The sequence below is a fragment of the Homo sapiens genome, chromosome 2, assembly GCF_000001405.40.
Source record: "Homo sapiens chromosome 2, GRCh38.p14 Primary Assembly".
Taxonomy (NCBI): Eukaryota; Metazoa; Chordata; class Mammalia; order Primates; family Hominidae; genus Homo; species Homo sapiens.
Genome location: NC_000002.12, coordinates 20719522 through 20742502, shown reverse-complemented (window position 1 = coordinate 20742502; position 22981 = coordinate 20719522). Strand labels below are relative to the sequence as shown.

The window sequence follows — 22981 nt, the reverse complement described above, 5'->3', positions numbered from 1 at the left end:
CTTTACATGCATGTGCCTAGCAGCAAAGCATCAAACTATGTGAGGCAAAAACTGATAGAACTACAAGCATAAATATATGCATCCACTATCATAGTTGGAGATTTCAACACCCCTTTATCAGAAATGGACAGATCCAGCAGGCAGTAAATGGGTAAAGACCTAGTTGAATTCAACAACACCATCAATCAACTTGATATAATTGACGTCTATAGACTACTTCATCCAACAAGAGCAGAATACACATTCTTCTCAAGATCACGTGGAACATTCACCAAGATAGACCACATTATGGTCCATAAAGCACACCTTAACAAATTTAGAATAGAAATTATATAATGCCTGCTCTCAGACCACAGTGGAATTTTACTAGAAACCAATAAAGGAAAGATAACTGGAAAGTCCCAAAATACATGGAGATTAAACATGGATTAGAAAAGAAATTCCAAGATAAATTGAGAAATAATTTTGAACTAAATGAAAATGAAAACACAACTTATCAAAATTTATAGGATGCTGCAATGAGCCAGGATCGTGCCATAAAATAAAATTAATATATCAGAGATGTATGTACTCCATGTCCATTGAAACACCCTTCACAATAGCAAAGTTAACAGAATCAACCTAAGTGTCCATCAGCAGATGAATGGATAAAGAAAATGTGTATGCACTCAATGGAATACTGCTCAGTCTTAAAAAAGAAGTTTTGTCATTTGCAACAATGTAGATGGGCCTGGAGAATATTATGGTAAGTGAAATAAACCAGACACAGGAAGACAAATACTGCATGTCCTCACTTATATGTGGAATCTGAAACAACAGAACTTATAAAGTGGGGAGTAGAATGGTGGTTACTAGAGTCTGGGGTGGTGGGCAGTGGGAGAATGAGGAGAGGAATGTTAGAGGGTACAAAGCCTCAAATAGACAGAAGTAATAACGTTTTTTCCTTTGGGATATATTGCACAGTGCAGTGAGTATAGCAAAAACAGCCTTTATAACAAATGATGCTGGAACAACTGAACGTCCATGTGCAAGAAAATGAATCTAGACACAGACCTTATACTTACCACAAAAACCAACTCAAAATGGATTATAGCTCTAAATATGAAACACAACTATAAAATGACTAGAAGATAACATAGGAGAAAACCTAGATGACCTTGGATATGATGATGACTTTTTAGATACAAACCAAAGGTACAGTCCCTGAAAGAAATAACAGATAAGCTGAACTTCATTAAAATTAAAAACTTCTACAGAAAGCAGGGTCAAGAGAATAAAAAGATAAGTCATAGACTGAGAGAAAATCTTTGAAAAGACACATCTGATAAAAGACTAATCCAAAATATACAAGGAACTCAGAAAACTCAAAATAAGAAAAATATAAAACCTATTTTAAAATGGGCCAAAAACCTTAACAGATACCTCACCAAAGAAGATATACAGATGACAAATAAACATATGAGAAGATGCTCCACATCATATGGCATCAAAGAAATGTAAATTAAAATGACAGTGAGATAACGCCACACCTGTTAGAATGGCCAAAATTCAGAACACTGACAATAAATGCTGAAAAGGATATAGAAACAGCAGGATATGGAGCACCTCTCATTCATTACTGGTGGGAATCAAAATAGTACAACCACCTTGGAAGACAGTTTGGTGATTTCATACAAAGCTAAACATATTCTTACCATGTGATCCAGCAATTGTGCTCGTAGGTATCTACCCAAAGAAGTTGAAAACTTAGTGCACATGGGCATTTATAGCAGCTTTATTCATAATTGCCAAAACTTACAAGCAACCAGTATTTCCTTCAGTAGGTGAATGAATAAATACACTACGGTACATTCAGATGATAGGATATTTTTTAGCATTAAAAAGAAATGAGGGGGCCTGGACATGGTGGGTCACGTGTGTAATCCCAGCACTTTGGGAGGCCAAGGCAGGAGAATCATTTGATCCCAGGAGATCAAGACCAGCCTGGGCAACACAGGGAGACCCTCTCTCTACAAAAATATAAAAAATGAGCCAGGCATGGTGGTGCACACCTGTAGTCCCAGTTACTTGGGAGGCCGAGGTGGGAGGATCACTTGCACTCAGGATGAGGCTGCAGTGAGCTGTGATTTTGCCTAGTTATAGGCTGAGAGGGTGGTGAGTGGTGGTTCTTCTCACTCTGAAGAGATCTCTAGTCATTCTAAAACCCATTCATTTGTCATTACTATATAGAAGAGACAATAAGTAATGGACCTATCCTTTAAGAAAACCTCTCATCAAAGTATGCTTCTTTATTGCAGGTAATTCGTGCCTTTCTGCTCTTTCCAACAATTGAACGAATGTCTGAGTCACCCAATGGCAGAATTGCCACTCCACTTTTGTGCTGGTTTCGATATGTTCTCTATGTTACTGGCTACTTATTATTGAAACCGTGTCCTGAGACAATCAAGTCCTTGCTAATCAGAAGGGGCCTTCAAGTAATGAACCTAGAGAATGAATTTTCACCATTGAATATATTAGAACCATTCTGCCTTGGTAAGCACAGATTTTAAAATGTGTATGTTTATTCTTGTATCACAAAATGTTTACACAATACTCTCTGACAGTGGACAAATATCAAGCAAGCAATTATTTACTAGTTTTTTTTTCCTCTTCCAAAAGTTTAAAACTAGAAATAAATAAAATTAGAAATAGAATGAATTTTTTCATAAGAAATTAGAAAAGCCTCATCAAGCTTTAATTTTACCTTATGTTTCTGATTCTTCACTCTAGCTGCAGCACAGTGAGAAACACTTCTTCCGCATATAGTACATAGTATATATGGAGTCCCTACAGGAATCCTTGGTGTGCCTGTTAGCTTAGTGGGAGTACTTTACGAAAAACAGCACAAGGACACAAAGCCTAATATTCTTGTAGAGTTAACAGGTTGTTTTTATTTTCCTCCTTTAAATGTTTTGGGAGAATTTAAATCATAGAAGTAATAAATATTTGTCATGGTAATGTATTTTAATACTGGGTGCTTTGCTGATTTTTATGAATATGCTAGGAAATGTTTTTGTGACTTTACTTTTTGGCTTCAAAAGTTGTTTTAAAATGTAGTCTATCTTTTTAGATCATACTATTTTATACTACATTTATAAATGACTTTCATAATAAAGTAATCCTAGTTTCTTAATCTATAATGTGGGGATAACAATACTCCGTACTTCAAAAGGTTATTCTAGTGTTAAATGTGATAAAATATCCAAAGCTTCTATCTAGTATTTTATTTATAACCGACCTCCAATGAACGATGTAACAATTAGTTGCAGCAGTAGCTGATGGCACTTTCTAAGCTTTTACCTGTGTTCCTCAAAAGAACTAATAAGGTTTAGTATTGCTATTGTCCCCATTTTAGATGAAGCAACTGAGGTACAAAGAGGTTACATGATTGCCCAAAGTTATACAACTAGTATGTAGTGTTGAAACCCAGGCATTCTGCCACTGTATTGCATTTCCTTTCACCATAGCTGGTGCTGTTGCCCTTGTTAATGATAACAGCAGGACTCCTGAATAAAGTTTTCCATGCTCAGCTGTATTAAGAATGCCATAAGGTCACATGCCTAATGAACTAGAAACAAGTTAACAGCCCTGCCTGTTCAATTGTGCAGCTGCAGTTCATATGGGAGGTGTTTTTCTAAATATGTAACAAGAAGCAGTCCTCAAAAATACAAGGTTCAGTATATTTGTCCTATTGATAGATTTTTTCCCCCTTCCATTTTCCCTCCAATTTCCATTCTTTAATATACCCTTAGCATAGTGGTTTAAAAAGATGAGATAGGAAGAGGGAAAGCAAGGGCTAAGGACAGTCATAGAAATTGCCAGAGGTTGATGTTGGAAATATCCCTTAAAGACCATTTGGTCCAACTCCTCATCTCTCCACCATATTATTAAGGAAAGGGGTCCCGATCCAGACCCTAAGAGAGGGTTCTTGGATCTCGCGCAAGAAAGAATTCAGGGTGAGTCTGCAGTGCAAAGCAAAAGCAAGTTTATTAAGTAAGTAAAGTGGTGAAAGAACAGCTCCTCCATAGACAAAGTAGGATATTCCTGAAAATAAGAGGAGGGATGCACCCACCCTAGGTACAATGCTTATATATATAGGGAGATGTGTTCTGCTACAAGGGTTTGTGATAAAGGATTAATTTTCTTAATTACTGTATTTTGCAAGAATCTATATATTATTATTATTATTATTATTATTATTATTATTATTTTGAGATGGAATCTCACTCTGTTGCCCAGGCTGGAGTGCAGTGGCGCGATCTCGGCTCACTGCAACCTCCGCTTCCCAGGTTCAAGTGATTCTCCTGCCTCAGCCTCCTGAGTAGCTAGGACTACAGGCAAGCACCACTGTGACCAGCTAATTTTTTTATTTTTTTTAGAGACAGAGTTTCACCATGTAGGCCAGGCTGGTCTCAAACTCCTGACCTCGTGATCCGCCCGCCTCAGCCTCCCAAAGTTCTGGGATTACAGGCATGCGCCACCATGTCCGGCCCAAGAATCGATATTTTTATCTTAAAAGCAAAATTAGGAATGCCTTTGTTCTCCAGATATCAGGATATCTGGACACTCCCAAGTCTGAGTCTGTTTTAGTAAACATTATTAATTTGTTCCCTTAACTTTAAACATCTAGAGGCTCGGAATGCCTTACTTTCTGAGAATACAGTCCAGCAAGTTTCAGCCTCATTTTCCTAGCCCACACTCAAAATGAAGTCTCTCTGGTTCACACGCCTCTGAAAATATTATGGAACAGATGCCTACTGGTGAAAATAGTACTGACAGGAAGTCACAAACCCTCAACTCTCATTTTGGTTCTGCCCTAGAGTCACTCTGTGGCTTTTGTTTAGTTACTTCCCCTCGTTGGTTTTCAGTTGTTGACTAAATCAAGAGTTAGGGCCAGTCTACCTTTGGAAATTACTTGAGACCCAATGGAATCAACATTTGAAATTCTGGCAAATATATGTAAAACTCTCCACATATACTTTGATAAGATCATTTTACGTCTCTTTACAGGTTTGTTTGTCTCTCCCAGCCCCTTGTTGCTTTTTGTCATTTTCTTTTTGCCTTGTAGAATGTATTTTATAAAGCATTCTTCAGTTATGGATTCCATTTTCCTCCTGGGACTTCTGCTTCCAGGAAGATAGAGTAAATGGACTTTCCACTATTTCTCCTGCTAAGTACTAAAAACCATGGATATTATCTATAAAACAACATCAAGAAGACTATACAAGGTAGAGAATAGAAAGCAGGCTATGTAGGGACTTTGGGACCCAAGGAACAAACACAGTGGTGAGTTCTCTGGGTTTTCTTTTTACCACATATATCCTAGATTTGGAGCCAGCAACCCAGAAACACCAAAGAGTAGAGACTTTTAAAGGTCCTAACAAAAGCCTACTCTCTCTAGCCCAAAGACCAGGAAAGGAGCAATGTTTTATAGAGTAGGAAAAAATAGTCTTCTCCCTACTTTGTATAGTTCTTACTTGGGGCAGATCTTTGTTACAAAAGACAGATTAACAAGAAAAATGTATAAATTTATTAACATTTATATTTCATATGTACATGGGAGATACCCAGAGAAATGAGTAAATCTCAAAGAGGTGGCTTCTGAGTTCAGACTTAAATACCATCTTGAACTAAAACAAAGAAAAGAGGTCAGTAATGGGAGGTGACCAAGAAAAGCACTGCACACAAGACAAGTTTGTTGTGCAGATTTAAGTTAGTGCCCTTTGCGTTGATAATAGAGTCCATGGTGATTTAGAATCATCCTTCATGGTACAGAGAGGAAAACACCCATACAAATGGAAATGTCCTTTATAGATGTCAATTTCCCTTTAAAAAGGGAACTTCTCCATTTTTAGAGCTTCTCCTGTGTCTTCAGTTTCTCAAAATACTCAGTTTAAAATAATCCTTTTGCCCAAGACACATCTTTAGGGATGGTATATTTTGGTCCCCTACAGTCATTTTGCAGCAGTGTATTCTGGTTTTCAATACTTTCTTTCTTTATTATTATTATTATATATTTTTTGAGACAGAGTCTCACTCTGCCACCCAGGCTAGGGTGCAGTGGCTCAATCTCAGCTCACTGCAACCTCCGCCTCCTGGGTTCAAGCAATTCTCCTGCCTCAGTCTCCCAAGTAGTTGGAACTACAGGTGCCTGCCACGACTCCCAGCTAATTTTTGTATTTTTAGTAGAGATGGGGTTTCACCATATTGGCCAGGCTGGTCTCAACCTCCTAACCTCAGGTGATCCACCTGCCTTGGCCTCCCAAAATGCTGGGATTACAGGCGTGAGCCACCGCACCTGGCCTCTGGTCTTTAATACTTTCTAAAAGAAACATTTAGACAGTAACTGCTCTACTCTACTCCAGCCATTTCCAGTCATGCCTGCAAAGATTGAGTGGACTTTACCCTCTCCCCAGCAGTAATGAAGCACCCCCTCTCTTTCCCTGCTCTACGGTACTGTCCCAGAAGAGGCTGAGTAGAGAGCGAAGACTTTCATCACTGCCCTGCAGTAATGGGGCCACCATCACCACTACCCCCATATTATCAGTAAAGGTCATGTGGGGAGAAGTAGCAAGGGACTCACCACTTGTCCCAGCCAAGATGGTAACAGTGGAAGCCTAGTACAGAGTCAGAATTCCTTCCCCTACCCAGCAGCTATGAGGAGCCCCTTCATCCCTTGGGTGTCAACAGAAGTCAAATGGGTAACTTAGACTCTACCCTACGTGGCCATAGTGAAAAAAACATCTAAAACATAAAGTTTAAGTAAGATCCAGAATCTCATAACATAATACTCAAACTGTCCATGTTTTAGTTGCAAATCACTTGTCTAACAAAATCTCAACTTGACTGGAAAAAAAAAATCAATGCCAACACCAAAATGACAGAGATATTAGAATTATCTGACAATAACTTTAAAGCAGCCACTATAAAAATTATTTAATGATCAATTAATAAACATGTTTGAAACTAATGAGAAGATAGAAAATCTTAGGAAAGAGAAGATTAAAAAAAAACTGAGTGGAAATTTTAGAACAAATTTAAAATCTCAATGGATGGAACCAACAATAAAATGAGGAGACAAAGAGGAAAGAATCAGTGAATATGAGATTAGATTAATAGAAATTATCCAATAGAGAGAAAATAGACTAAAAAGGGGAAAAAAAGGAACAGAACCTCAGGGACCTGTTGGACTACAACGAAAGATCTAACATTTGTGATAACACTAGTCCTAGAAATAGAGAGTAGGTCTGGAAAAGTGTTCAAAGAAATAATGGTCAAAAACTCCCAAATTTTGCAAAAGATATGAATTTACAGATTCAAGAAGCTGAGTGAATTTAAAACAGAATAAACCCAAAGAAATCTATACTAAAACACCATAACCAAGCTTTTGAAAACTAAAACAAAGAAAATGTCTTGAAAGCAGCCAGAAGAGCAAAGCGGTACATTATTCATGGAAGAAAGTCTGTTTGAAGGACAGCTAGTTTTTCATCAGAATCCATGGAGACCCAAAGGAAAATGACAAAATGCAAAATGAAAATAACTATTAATCCAAAATTCTGTATCTAGCAAAAGTGTCTTTCAGGAAAGAAGGGGAAATTTAACATTCTCAAATGTTGAAAAACTAAAAGAACTTGTCAACATTAGATCTATCCTAAAAGAATAACTGCAGGAAGTTCTCTCAACAGAGAGGAAATGATAAAAGAAGGAATCTGGGAATGTCAAAAAGAAAGAACAGTGAACAAGTTAAAATGTGGACAAATGCAACTTTCTTCTTCTCTTGAGATTTCTAAATTATGTTTAACAGTTAAAGCAAAAATTATAGCACTGTCTCTTATGGTTCTAAACATACACAGAGGAAATATTTAGGGAACGATTTTATAAATGGGGGAGGGTACAGGGACATAATGGCAAGTAAGGTTTCTACACTTTACTTGAACTGTAAGATGTAACCATATGTACATAGTAATAAGTCATGTATATATGTAATGTAGTACCTAGAACAGCCATTTCAAATGCTATTCAAAAGAGATACTCAAAATCACCATGGATAGATGAAGATGGAATTCTATATTTAGAAACACATTGATTGGAAGACCAGAAAAAGAACTCAGAGACATGACAGAGAACAAACAGAAAACAAATAATAAAATGATCATCCATGATTATATTGAATGTAAATCTAAATATACAATTAAAAGAAATTGGCAGGGTAGATTAGAAAACATGACTCAATTGTATGCTGTCCTCAAGTCTTAGTTTAAATATAACAATATAAGTAGGTTGAAAGCAAAAGGATGAGAAAAGATACATTATGCAAACATTTATAAGCAAAGGAAACCAGGAATAGCTTTATTAATATCAGATAAAGTAGATTTCAGTGCAAAGAAAATTACCTAATAGACATTTGTAGAACACTTCACCCAAAACAGAATTGATATCAACATGTTGATATCATTGAAACCATACAGAGTATGTTCAGTGACCACAGTGGAATCAAACTAGAAATCAGCAACAGAATAACAAAAGTTAGATCTTTAAATACTTGGAAAGTAAACCGCACACTTCTAAACAACTCATGAGTCAAAAATGGAAATTACAAAGAAATTCAAATAATACTACATGTAATTAATAAAACTATAGCTCACAACTGTAATCCTAGCACTTTGGGAGTCTGAGATGGAAGGATCGCTTGAGCCCAGGAGTTCTAGACCAGCCAGGGCAACACAGTGAGGCCCTGTCTCTATAAAAAATTTAAAAATTGGCCAGGCACTGTGGCTCATGCATGTAATCCCAGCACTTTGAGAGGCTAAGGTAGGCAGATCACTTGAGTCCAGGAGTTCAAGACCAGCCTGGGCAACATGATGAAACCCCATCTCTACTAAAAATACAAAAATTAGCTGGGCATGGTGTCGCACACCTGTAACAGGTCCTAGCTAGTTGGGGGACTGAGGCAGGAGGATCCCTTGAGCCTGGGAAGTCAAGGCTGCAGTGAGCCGAGATCGTGACACTGCACTCCAGCCTGGGAGACGAAGTAAGATCCTGTCTCAAAAAAAAAAAAAAAAAAAATAGCCAGGCATGGAGGTATAGCCTGTAGTCTCAGCTTCTTTGGGCAGGCTAAGATGGAAGGATCACTTGAGCCCAGGAGGCCAAGGCTGCGGTAAGCCATGATCATGCCACTGAACTCCAGCCTGGGTGACAGAGTGAAAGCATCTCAAAAAAAAATAAAATTATTAATAATTAATAATAAAACTGAATCAAAATGAAAATACAGCATATTAAAATTTGTGGGACACAGCTAAAACAGTGATGAGACAAAAATGTATGCTGGTGTCAGAAATGATTACATTAGAAAAGAAGAAAAGTCCTAGTAACCTAAGCTTCAACCTGAAGAACCTAGAAAAAGAAGAGCAAAATAAACCCAAAAGGAGGAAAAGGAAAGAAATAACAAGAATAGAAATTAGGGTTAGGAGCAGTGGCTCACATCTTGAATGCCAGCACTTTGGAAGGCTGAGGCAGAAGGTTTGCTTAAGGCCAGGAGTTTGAGACCAGCCTAGGCGACATAGTGAGACCCTGTCTCTACAAAAAAAATTGAAAACAAAAACAATAGAGAAAATCAATGGAAGAAGAAAGTGGCTACTTTGAAAGAGTAATAAAATTGACAAACCCCTAGCAAGACTGACAAAGAAAAAACAGCTGAAGACACAAATTACCAATATCAGAAATGAAATAGAAAATATCACCATAGAGCCTGCACCCATCAAAAGGATAATAAAGGCTACTGTGAACAACTCTACACATATAAATTTGACAACTGGAATGAAATAAACCAATTCTTCAAATGTGGACACACTACCACAATTCATCCAAGATGAAATAGACCATTTGAAGAGCCTTATAACTTTGAAGGAAACTCAATTTGTAATTTTAAAACTTCCAAAAAAAGACATTTAGAGGCTCAGATGATTTCACTGAAGAACTATACCTAATGTTTAAAGAAATACTAACACAATTCTACCTATTTTTTAAATAGAAAATAGGAGGGAACACATCCCAATTCACTTTTTGAAGCTAGTATTATCTAATATCAAAACCAGAGAAAAATAATACAAAAAAAGAAGAAACTACAGGCCAGTATCCCCTATGAGTATAGAGACAAACATCTCTAATAAAATATTAGCAAACAGAATTCAGCAATATATAAAAAGAATTATATACTATTCTATTACCAAATGTGATTTATTCCAGGGATGCAAGGCTAGTATGATATTCAAAAATCCATTAATATAATCTAACATATTAACAGGCTAAAGAAGATAAACCACATGATTCTATCAACCGATGCAGGGAAAAAAAAATATTTTGAATGCTTTTCTTCTAAGACTAGAAACAAGACAAAGATGTCTGCTCTCAGCACTCTTATTCAACATAGTGCTGGACGTTCTAGTCAGTCCAGTAAGGTAAGGCAAGGAAATAAAAGATATACAGATCAGAAGAGAAGAAATTAATCTCGTTTGTAGATGGCATGATTGTCTGTAGAGAAAATCCCAAGGATGGTTCTGCGGCTCTGCCAGGGAATAAAAATATATCAAATGATTAAAAAAAAAAAAACTAAAAGAAAAAAATGACAATCCCAAGGAATCTACCAAAAACAAACTTTGAGAATTAATACAAGTTCAACAATGTCACAGGATACAGGATAAGCACAAAAGTCAATATTATTTGCATACACTAGCAATAGAAACCAAAATTTAAAATATAATGTACATTTTTAGCCAGTCGGAAAAATTAAATTGTTAGGCATAAATTTAGAAAAACATATACATAATTATATGCTGAAAATGATGACTATTAATAAAGAAATGAAAGAAGACCTAAGTAAATGGAGAGACATACTGTGTTCATGGATTGGAAGACTCAACATAGTAAACATGTATTAATGCACTCTCACACTGGGTAATTTATAAAGAAAAGAGGTTTAATTGGCTCACAGTTCCATAGGCTGTACAGGAAGAGGCATCCACTTCTGCGGACGCCTCAAGTAGCTTTTACTTATGGCAGAAGGCAAAGTGGGAGCAGGCGTCTAACATGGGAGGAGCGGGACTGAGAAAGACAAGTGGGAGAGGTGCCACACACTTTAAACAACCAGATCTTGAGATAACTCCATCATTATTTCTATAACAGCACCAAGGGGGATGGTGTTAAGTCATGAGAAACCATCCCCATGATTCAGTTACCTCTCACCAGGTCCCACCTCCAACATTGGGGATTACATTGAGGACATGAGATTTGGGTGAGGACACAAATCCAAACCATATCAGATGTCAATTCTTCCTAAATTGATATGCATATTAAACATAGTTGCTATCAAAATCCGAGCAAGATTTTTTTGTAGCTATCGACATGATTATTCTAAAATGTATTTGGAAAGGCAAAGGAATAAGAATTACTAAGACAGTTTTGTAAAAGAAGAATAAAGTGGAAGGAGTGAGTCTGTCTGGTTGCAAGATTTATTATGTAGCTACAGTAATCAAAACTTTGTGATATTGATAAAGGGATTAATACATAAATCAATGGAACAGAGAAGAGAACCTAGAAATAGACCCACACAAGTGTGCCCAACTGATTTTTGACAAGAGGGCAAAAGCAATTTGATAAAAGAGGAATTGCCATTTCAACAATGTTGCTGGAGCACTTGGCTCTTCTTAGGCCAAAAGAAAAAAAGAAGAAGGAGAAGGAGAAGGAGAGAAGAAGAAAGGAAGGAAGGAAATGAACCTCAACCTAAACTGTAAACCTTACACCTTATAAAAAGGTTAACTCTAAATGAGCCATGAATTTTAATATAAATCTTAAAACTACAATCCTTTTAGAAAAAAAGAATAAAATATTCAGGATCAGGATCTAGGACTAGGCAAAGACTAGCTGGGTGTGATCACAGTGAGATATCATTACACACCTATCAGAATGGCTAAAATAAAAAAAATCAGCAACCATAAATGCTGGTAAGGATGCAGAGAAACTGGATCACTCATACATTGCTGCTGATAATGTAAAATGGTGCACCCACTCTGGAAAGCAGTTTGACAGTTAAAAACCTAAACACGCAGCTACCCTATGACCCAGCAGTTAACACTCCTAGGCATTCATCCCTGATATGTGAAAACTGGTGTTCAGAGAAAAACCTGTATATGAATGTTTATTGTAGTTTTATTCATAATAGCCAAAAACTGGAAACAACCCAGAGGTATTTTCAATGGGTAAATTATTAAACAAACTGTGGTAAAGCCATACCATGGAATTCTACTTGATAATAAAAAGGAACAGACTTTTAATACACACAGCAACCTGTGTCCATCTCCAGAGAATTATGCTCAGTGAAAAAAAGCAACCCTTAAGGTTTACATACTGCGTGATTCCATTTATATAGCATTCTTGAAGTGATAACATTATAGAAATGAAGAACAGATTAGTGGTTGCCAGGGGTTAAAAATTAAAGATGAAAATTTAGCTAGGCATGGTGGCACACACCTGTAGTCCTGGCTACTTGGGAGGTTGAGGCAGGAGGATCGCTTGAGCCTAGGAGTTCAAGGTTACAGCGAGCTGTGATTGCACCACTGCACTTCGGCCTGGGCAACAGAGGAAGACCCTGTCTCTTTAAAAAATACATACATACATATCCTGGCTGTAACATTATACTGTGGTTTTGCAAGATATTACCATGGGAGAAACTGGGTAAAAGGTACATGGATTTCTCTATATTATTTGTTACACCTGCATGTAAATCTACAACTATCTTAAAATAAAAGTTGAATTAAAAACAAAAAGCATTCTCCAGCTAGGGATACCACTTTCCTCCCTGGGATAGGTGTTCCCCTCATCCTGACGGCCTGAATTAGGAGCTCCTTGTCCTTGAGACATTGAGAAGGTTGAGGACCCAGAGTCCCAGGGCTGAGGACACCATTAGATATGCAGCTGTACTTATGCCTCTTTAGAAATATTTTCTAAACTCAAATCAGGACATGGGATATAAATTTTATACATTTTTTAAATTTATATATGAAAAGTCTAGCTATGACAAATTATTCTTAACGGTATATTTACTAAATACATAATATGTCACATATAACATATAATCAAGTGCTTAATGTTTTTAATTAAAACAGGAAATTATGTAAAGGTATTTTCCACTTTTTCTGCATCAGAGTTATATACACTTCAGGAGAAGTAGGCTCCAAAAGCTGCACTTGAAAGAAAGGACTCTTCCTTTTAATTGCAATAATTGACCTCCTACTGCATCTTCCAGGAGACTGAAGTTTAGGCAGCAGGGAGCAAGACAGTTTAGGCATAAGACATATTTCCCTCCCCAATCCAAGGCAACCAGAGTTTTATACTACATTGTTGCTTGAAGAACCCTGGGCTTCCTTTCTCACACAACCCTGATATATGAAATACATTTTGTAAATCAGACTGAACATTCAGCTACATGTCTTCATCTCTGTTCTAAATAACAAACTAGCAAACAAATTTTTGGAGCACAGTCCTCCTATTTCTTACATCCTTTCCTTTTCTGATCTTTTAATCCCTTGGCTCTAATCTGGCCTTCTGATAGCCAAATAACTACTACTTCAGTGGTCTCTGATTTTTTTTTTTCCCCATAACCTACCCAGTGTGTGTAACCTTGGGTAAAGGAAAATGAGGCAGTAGTTAGTTACCTGTCTTCTTTCTTCTTTGGGTTATTGGTTCATTCCCTGCTTGGGTTCATAGTTCACTTCCTAGTAGCCAGCCTCTTCCCTCTAGATCCCCAGTGCCACCCCTGCCTCCTCTTGCAATAACCCTCACAGAAGCTGCCTTCGCCCAGGCTTGCCCTTACCATCACTATGGTGATTCCTAGTACCTTGCTTCCCACAAAGAGAAAGTCCCAACTGAGAGAGCAACACTCAACAGAAGACTTTGGGAGATGATCAGTGGGCTCTGCTAGAGTTTATACTCCATGAATAGTGGACATAACTAATGTTCATACCAGCTACTTGCATCGGCATAATTTTCATGGTTACACAAAGAGAGGGGTTATCAAGGGAAAAGAAGATCAGGTCAGAGATCATTCCCAGCTGGGAATCTGGTCCAGCTGGATATTTCCCCCTGGCCCCCACAGACCTGTTTCTCTGTGGCTTGACTATCATCCAGACAACGACCTTTTAACCTGCCAGCATGCCTTTTAGGAGGCTTTGCAGTGTTTGCAGATTATGTAATGTCTGTGCTTCAGTAGAAATCTTACGGAAACAAATGGAGGAAGTTTGCTAGTCCAAGCAGTGGATAATAAATCCTGCCCTATCTAGATAGAAACTGGTTTTCTGTATCCTTTAGTTTATACACACATTTTTGTTGTTGTTGTTGTAAGCTCTGAAAAATTCTAGGAACCAAAATATTCAAATATTTCAAATCCTGCTGCCCTTTTGGCAAAGATGGCACATCCTTTCCTGTAGGCTTGAGTTCTGGGGCATTAGCGTTCTTCTCTAGTATGAGTGAGTGAAATGTCATTTCCTATCCAGCATTCAGAGAAGAGTAGCCCTACATCAGTTAGTGTACATTATAAACTTTACCACAGTGTTCATCAATGTCATTTTGTTAACTAGGTTATTTTAAATGTTATTTTTAAAGAACATATATGGATTTTTTCTTCAGTTTTAATTCTGGAATGTTTGCTACTCTGTATTTTCTTTAGATGTTCTTCCACTTCATGAAAAATAGGCTTTTCACTGAGACAGCTAAGTTGATTTTCTGATCAAAGCTAAAAGAAAATACGTCTTAGTTCAGCAGTATAGCAAGTCAAAATAATTAACTTTAAAAAATATTCTAGGGTCTTTTCGTTAGTTAGGCCAAATTGATATTTTATTTCCTTTCAGTTACCTAACTAGAAAAACATAGCACAGAGACATAGGGAATTTCTGGTAGATTACATTACTTTGTTGAATATATTCTTGTAAAATAAATTTTCATAATTTTTTCTTCCCTTAATATGGAATTAGCTTTTTAAGATATAAAATGAACTATTAAATGAGATGACAACATAAGCATTTGCATCACTAAAGAATCATAAATTTCTTCTAGAATATTTTTAACTCAATCCCAGAATAATTTTTGAGTAAGACGAAACCAGACTCTCATGTTACCTTACCTATTCTCTCATTTATCTGAGCAGCTTATGAAAATATGTTTATAAAACCCAACTGTGGCTTTTATTTATTTATTTATATTAGAGACAGGGTCTTGCTATGTTGGCCAAGCTAGTCTCAAACTCCAGGCCTCAAGCAGTCCTCGACCTTGGCCTCCCACAGTGCTGAGATTACAGGTGTGAGCCGTCATGCCCGGCCCCAGCTGCAGCTTTTAATGATTCATGCAAGTATAACCTAAAATTCAGGAATGAAGGAAAAGGTTTTTTTGTTTGTTTTTGTTTTTGTTTTTCGGTCAGTGTTAGGATTTAGGACAAGAGGTGATTAGTGTGGTACTAGGATATAATCTCTGGTTTAGAAGTTAATAGCGCAATGAATATCTTATTTTTTCTAAAGAAATTTTTATATTTCAAAATTAACGCCAGTCTAAAAAGTTGCATTATTTTTTAAAATCATACAACACCTCCAGTTGTTTTTCACTTTGGTGAACTCAGTGTCGCTTAGGTAAGATTATCTGTTTGCAGACTAAATTGATTATCGTAATGACCACAGTCCTGGCTTATAGAGAAATACATAATAAACTATGTTGACTACGAAACATTTCTCCAAATTATGCAGAAAGTTTAGAATGGGAGAATTATTTTTTTAGGTCTAGTTTTCACTTTGTTGCAACTTGGCACCATTGGAAAGGTGGAAAACAACCTGGAAATAAATAAATAACCGCTGAAGAATTTTCCCTTGGAAGAAGGTTTCATCTGGGTTTCTAAGACTATCTGGTCCTACTTAACCTTTTGACAAACCCTGCTGGTATAGCCTTTCTGAGTACCCAGCCTTACTCTGCCTACAGCTGTGTTGGCATGTGGGGCTGCTCATGTCTCCAGAATCTTCTAGTCTTGCAGCTCGTCCTCAACCCTAAATTTTGTTCCCACACAGCCCTGCTTGACTTGAACCTTCCTAACTTCCCTACACTCAGCACATCTTGCCAGCCTCAGGAATAGTCAGAATATGTGCTAGGAGGAGCTTTCCTGTGAAAGGCTCTTTTTCAGTCAGCTCCTACCCTGCCTCCTCTCAGGCAAGCCCTGGATATGTGCAGATGCCACTTTCTCCCCCACTCAAGTACCAGAGCCTGATAGGCAGTTAAGCACATCAGCCCTTGTGCTGTGACCAAAAACACCCAGAATATTCAAAGGCCCTATTTCTATTCACTTTTATCATCTGGGATTGAGTTTGACTATAGATAACAGAAAACCAAATTACAGTGGCCTAAACAGATAGGGATCTATTTTTCTCATGTGCCAAGAAATCCAGGCATAGGCAGTCCAGAGGTAAATAACATCTCAACAGTGCCATCTGGGACATGGGTCGTATGTTTCTACTCTGTTGTCCTTTGCACATCACATAAACCTTTATCCTTGTGGTCATCATCTCATGGTCACGTCATGGCTCCTGCAACTCTAGACCTCATGTCTAACATTCAGCCAGAAAGAAAGGGAAAGGGGAGAAAGGCAAAAGGCCTACTCCTGATTAGGCTTTGGCTTATTTAAAAAGAGAATGTCCTCCCTAGGAACTTTTAGATTAGTAGCCAAAATATCCCTTACTCTGAGGAATAGAGAAAAGCCATATGTTTTGATTTCCCCATGACTCAGTAGAGTCAATCAAGGGAAATGAAAATTTTTGTTGGCTTTTAGGTAGTTACATTGCGTCTACTACATCCACACTGCAAGATGGTCTTGAGATTCAACATCCATGGACTTAATCTCAGAATAGCCCACCTACCAAACACTGAGGTAAGACAGTCAGTCCACCAGAACTAAAATCCATCGTTGCCATGTTCCTGCAGAATGCCTTCAGGCGTTGTAACCCTTGGCAAGATAAGCTCACAGTGAGGTCTACCGTTTATTTCTTAATTGTGACAGGTCTTCTTCAAATCTTGTCTAAATAAGTACCCATCCACAGTAGAGCTCATCTCAGCTCCCAAGATTATTGTATTTTTTATTTTAAAGGGAGTTTTAAAATGTTTGGCATTTCATCGGTATTAATGGGCTTACTAATGATTATTCTCCTCAGCCACCCCCCATCATGGTGCTGAATCTACCAAAGCCTTTTCCTAACCTGTCAAACCTTTTCATGAGTACTTTAAGAAAGTGATTTTTCCTTGTAAACGTGGTGGTATATTTTGGACATGTAGAATCTGTCAGACCTTTTAAATAAGATCAAAGTGACTAGAAGTAGTATCTCAGTCACCATAGACCAAGAGTAAAACTCACATATATATTGCGGTATATACACCCACAATGGTTGATTTCCTACCTCCCAAATTCACCTGTCATAATGAAACCATGCCCATCTCCTGTAATTCCCCTTGCTTCAGTACCAACAAGTCCCTCTCCTCAATAATGGCAAAGCCAAACAAACTGGGGCATTCTAATATGAATCATACTAGTGGTACTAGGCTACGTACCACCAAAACAGCAGCACAACTTGGCTTGCCACCTTGCAGTTCTACTTTAGAAAACTATTTATGCATCACCTTCCATTTTATGATTAGTTGTGGTTTAAATTGCCTCTACATTGTCTCTGGCTCTTATAACTAGTGTGTATGTGGCCTAGTTTCTGACTAGTCCCAACAGGGGCTGTTAGACTTGTACTCTGGCCTTCAGTTATTCATCTCACTTTTATACCAGTACCTGCCAGCTTGGCTTACCAGTGTCAGTGTGCTTCAGCCTCTAGTTCTGGCCTCCATCATGATGTCAGCTCTTGGACCACTTCCTCCCCACCCCGCTTTCCAAAGCACTAGCTGAGTAACCTTCTCTGTCAGTCTCTTCCCATTTATTTCACTTAACAACCCTTCCTTACTGATACCTGCTGTGAGCTAACTGTTCAGATAAGCACTGGAGAGAATAATGAATGAAATATAGTTCCTGCCCTTAAGTTACTTACAGTGGGATAGAAGAGAAAAAATATGAAGAATTTTAATATATCATAGGGCTATCATAAATCAGATACAAGGTATGAATGGTAATGAGAAAGGAGAGATCAGTTCTATTAATACCTAGGTAAGTAACAGAGGAGAAGATGAATGAATTTGGACTTGAAGGTGAGTTGGGATTTTTCCAGACAGACAAAATGGCACCAGGATAGGCAATTAGAAGGCAGCCTTCTGTTATGGATTATGTGTACTTGGAGAATTGGGTGATAACATTTGACCTGTGAGATGAATGCCCTATTGGTCTTCCAGCTTTAGCCCTCACTCGGCTATTTCAAACCTTTTAGCCAGCATAAGTTAAAGTTGTATAGTAATTTTTGGACATTAAGCAAATCTTAGAAAATAATGTTAGTAAATAACATTAGACTCTTCAATTAGTCTTTTTTATACCTGTGTTTAATGGAGCAAAAGTAAAGAATTAACATTCTTCCAAATCATTCTCTTTCCTTCATGTTTTTGTTTCCATTACTACTGCTACTAGACATTTCCTTCACTGTAGTGCTTGAAATTCTGAGTTCTGCTGGATTTCCAGGAATGCTGTTGACAGTCATTGCCAAGAGAAATGTGTTTTCCACTTAGGAAATTACACTTCTATTTGGTATTATTATTTCTGACCACTATGTTGTATTATGAGCATTTCTGAGGAATGACAAAGATGGCTTCCTTGGAGCAATTACTGGAAAAGAAGCTGGTGTTCTATTAAAAAAAATATATGCTTAGATAGGAAATTACCAAGAAATAAATAAGGGTAGGAATAAAGGTGGGATGGAGTACATTCCCTGATGAAAAAATTTACTTTCAGAAAATAGGACTCCTTACAAATTATTTGAATTTTTAAGTTTTTTTTTAATTTAAGAATGACAAAAAAGTACTTAAAACATAAATGTGTCCCTTCATGAATTATCACAAAACAAACTTCTATTAACTGCCACCCACTCAAGAATCACCATTGCCCGAGTCTCAGAAGACCCCCTTATGCTTCTGCCCATCTCACTTACTCCATTTTCCCAAATGTAACTACTACTAACATCTAGATGTACCTGGTTTTGGACTTTAAATAACTGGAATTGTATAATGTATACTTGTTTGTGTCTGACTTCTCTCAGTCAACATTGTATGTTGCAACTTTAATTATTTCATTTTTATTACTAAATACTTTTCCACTGGATGAATGCACTACAGTGTATTTATTTATTCTATGATTGATGAATACTTGGGTTGTTTCCAATGTGGTACTACTAAAAATAATACTGTCAAGAGCATTTTTATGCTTGCCTTTCAGTGAACTTATGCACATATTTCTCTTGGGTCCATCCAGAGAGGAAATGCAGAGGTCATATGGTATGCATATGTTTAGCTTCAGAAGACAATACTAAATGGTTTCCAAAGTGGTTGTACCAATGTGTACTCCCACCAGCAATATATGAGTTTATGTTGCTTCATTTGCTCACCAACACTTGGTATTGTCTGTATTTTTTGTTTTTGCTATGTTTTGTAATTTGGGTCAATCTAGTAGGTATATAGTGCCATCTGATGGTGTTAAGGTTTTCTAAAAAATATTTTGAGATTGTTCTTTTTCTTTGATTACATAATAGTTGTACATATTTTAGGGTACATGTGACATTCGAATACCTGTATACACTGTGTTATGATCAGATTAGGGTAAATGGGGTATCCATCTCTTCAAATATTTATCTTTGTTTTAAGAACATTACAATTCTTCTCTTCTAGCTATTTTGAAATATACAATTACTATAATTTTCCCACTGCATTATCAAATACAGGAACTTATTTCTTATATCTGATTCTGTTTTTGTACCCCTTAACCAATTTCTCTCATCTGTTCCACCCCGCTTCCTTTCTAAGCCTCTGGTAGTGACCATTCTACTGTCTACCCCTGTGAGATTCACTTTTTTTTTTTTTTTTTTTTTTTGAGACAGTTTCATTCTGTCGCCCAGGCTGGAGTACAGTGGCGCAATCTCGGCTCACTGCAAACTCTGCCTCCCGGGTTTAAGCAATTCTCCTCTCTCCCACCTTCCCCCGCCAGTAGCCAGGATTGCAGGCGCACACCACCACGCTCGGCTAATTTTTGCATTTTTAGTAGAGACGGTTTCACCATGTTGGCCAGGCTGGTCTCGAACTCCTGACCTCAGGTGATCCGCCCGCCTAGGCCTCCCAAAGTGCTGGGATTACAGGCGTGAGCCACTGTGCCCAGCCGTAAGATTCACTTTTTAGCTCCCACATAGGAATGAGAACATGCAATATTTGTCTTTCTGTGCCTGGTTTTCACTTAACATAATAACCTCCAATCCCATCCATTTTTCTGCAAATGACAGGATTTCATTCTTTTTATGGCTGAATAATATTCCATTATGTGTATATACCACATTTTCTTTATCCATTCACCAACTGATGGACACTTAGATTCATTAGTATCTTGGGTACTGTGAACAGTGCTGCAATAAACATGGGAATGCAGATACCTCTTTGATACACTGATTTCCTTTCTTTTGGATATAGACCTATCAGTGGGATTGCTGAACTGAACTATGTGGTAGTTCTAGTTTTAGTTTTTTGGGAAAACTCTAAACTGTTTTCCATAATGGCTATACTACTTTACATTCCCAACAGTTTACAGGTATTCCCCTTTCTCTGCATCCTCACCAGCATTTGTTATTTTTTGTCTTTTTCTTGATAGCCACTCTAACTGGAGTGAGATGACACCTAATTGTGGGGTTTTTTTTTTGTTTGTTGGTTTGTTTTTAATGTTTTATTTCCATAGATTTTGGGGAACAGGTGGTATTTGGTTACACGAGTAAGTTCTTTAGTGGTGATTTGTGAGATTTTGGTCCACCCATCACCCAAGCAGTATATAGTGAACTTAATTTGTAGTCTTGGTTTTGATTTGCATTTTCCTGATAGTGATGCTGAGCATTTTTTATGTACTTGTTGGCCATTTGTATGTCTTCCTTTGAGAAATTTCTATTCAGGTCTTTGGTCCATGTTTTATTCAGATTATTTGTCATCATGCTATTGAGTTGTTTGAGTTCCCTAAATATCCTGGTTATTAATCCCTTGTTAGATGGATAGTTTGCAAATATTTTCTCCCATGCTGTAGACTGTTTCTTCACTTTGTTGATTGTTTACTTTTCTATGTGTAGCTTTTTAGCTTGGTGTAATCCCATTTGTCTATTTTTCGCTTTTGTTGCCTGTGTTTTTGAGGTCTTACCCGAAAAAAATCTTTCCCCAGACCAATGTCCTGTAGCATTCCCCCTAATGTTTTCTTTTAGTAGTTTCATGTCCTATTAAAGTCTTTAATCCATTTGAGTTGATTTTTGTATATGGTAAAAGATAGGATCGATCTAGCTTCATTCTTCTGCATATGGATATCTAGTTTCAATAATGTTTATTAGAGAGACTATCCTTTCCCCAATGTGTGTTCTTAGTGCCTTTGTTGAAAACAAGTTGGCTGTAAGTATACTGATTTATTTCTGAGTTCTCTATTACATTCCATTGGTCTGTGTCTGCTTTTATGCCAGTATCATGTTGATTTAATTACTATAGCTTTGTAGCATGATTTAAAGTCAGGTAGTATGATGCTTCCAGCTTTGTTTTTTTGTTTTTGTTTTTTCCTTTCCTTAGGATTCCTTAGCAATTCGGCGTCTTTTGGGATTCCATACAAATTTTAGGATTGTTTTCTCCATTTCTGTGAAGCATGTCATTAGTATTTTGAGAGAGATTGCATTGAATCTGTAGATTGCTTTGGGTCATATAACATTTCAATGATATTAACCCTTCCAATCCATGAGCATGGGATATCTTTTCCTTTGTGTGTGTGTCCTTTCCATTTCTTTCATCAGTGTTTTATAGTTTTCCTTATAAAGAAAAACTTGTTTTGTTAAATTCACTTCTTTTGTTAAATTTATTCCTAGGTATTTTTTAGTAGCTATTGTAAATAGGATTGCTTTCTTGATTACTTTTTCAGATTGATCACTGTAAACGTATATAAACACTGCTGATTTTTGTATGTTGATTTTGTATCCTGCAACTTTACTATCTTTATTTATCAGTTCTGAGAGTTTTTTGATGGAGTCTTTAGGTTTTACTAAATAAAAGATCATGTCATCTGCAAACAAGGTTAATTTGACTTCTTCCTTTCCAATTTGGATACTCTTTGTTTCTTTCTCTTGCCTAATTGCTCTATCTAGGACTTCTAATACTATGTTGAGTTGAAGTGGTGAAAATGGGCATCTTGTCTTGTTAGATGTTAGTGGAAATACTTTGTTCACTGTTCAGTGTGATATTAGCTGTGAGTCTGTCATATATTGCCCTTATGGTATTGAGGTATGTTTTTTCTATACCCCGTTTGTTGAGAGTTTTTATTATGGAGGGATGTTGAATTTTATCAAACACTTTTCCAGCATGTATTGAAACAATCATATGGTTTCTGTTCTTGATTCTATTGATGTGATGTATCATGTTTATTGATTTGTGTATGCTGAACCATCCTTGCCTCCCTGGGCTGAATTCCACATGATCATGGTGATCTTTTCAATGTGTTACTGAATTCAGTTTGCTAGTATTTTGTTGAGGATTTTTGCATTTATGCTCATCAGTTATATTGGCCTGTGGTTTTCTGTTATATTCTTGTCTGGTCTTGGTATCATGGTAATGCTGGCCTCATAGAATGAGTTTGGAAATATTCCCTCCTCTTCAATTTTTTAAAGTAGTTTGAGTAGAATTGGTATTAGTTCTTCTTCAGATGTTTGGTAGAATTCAGCAGTGTTTC

At 37.1% G+C, this 22981-nt stretch overlaps 1 protein-coding gene across 26 annotated transcripts in view; it reads left to right on the top strand.

Moving 5' to 3' along the window:
* The window catches only part of LDAH (lipid droplet associated hydrolase), a 140613-nt gene that overhangs the window by 80599 nt on the left and 37033 nt on the right, over positions 1 to 22981 (top strand). For 22 of the 26 annotated variants that reach the window (XR_007079565.1, XR_007079563.1, XR_001738874.2 and 19 more), the window contains one exon: positions 2298 to 2532. The exons of the other annotated variants lie outside the window; for them this stretch is intronic. Coding sequence is in view for 6 of the 22 variants with exons in the window: in NM_001282722.2 (NP_001269651.1) it covers positions 2298 to 2532 (235 nt within the window). In the remaining 16 variants the exon portion in view is untranslated. The remainder of the gene's footprint in view (positions 1 to 2297; positions 2533 to 22981) is intronic. 26 annotated transcript variants of the gene reach the window in all.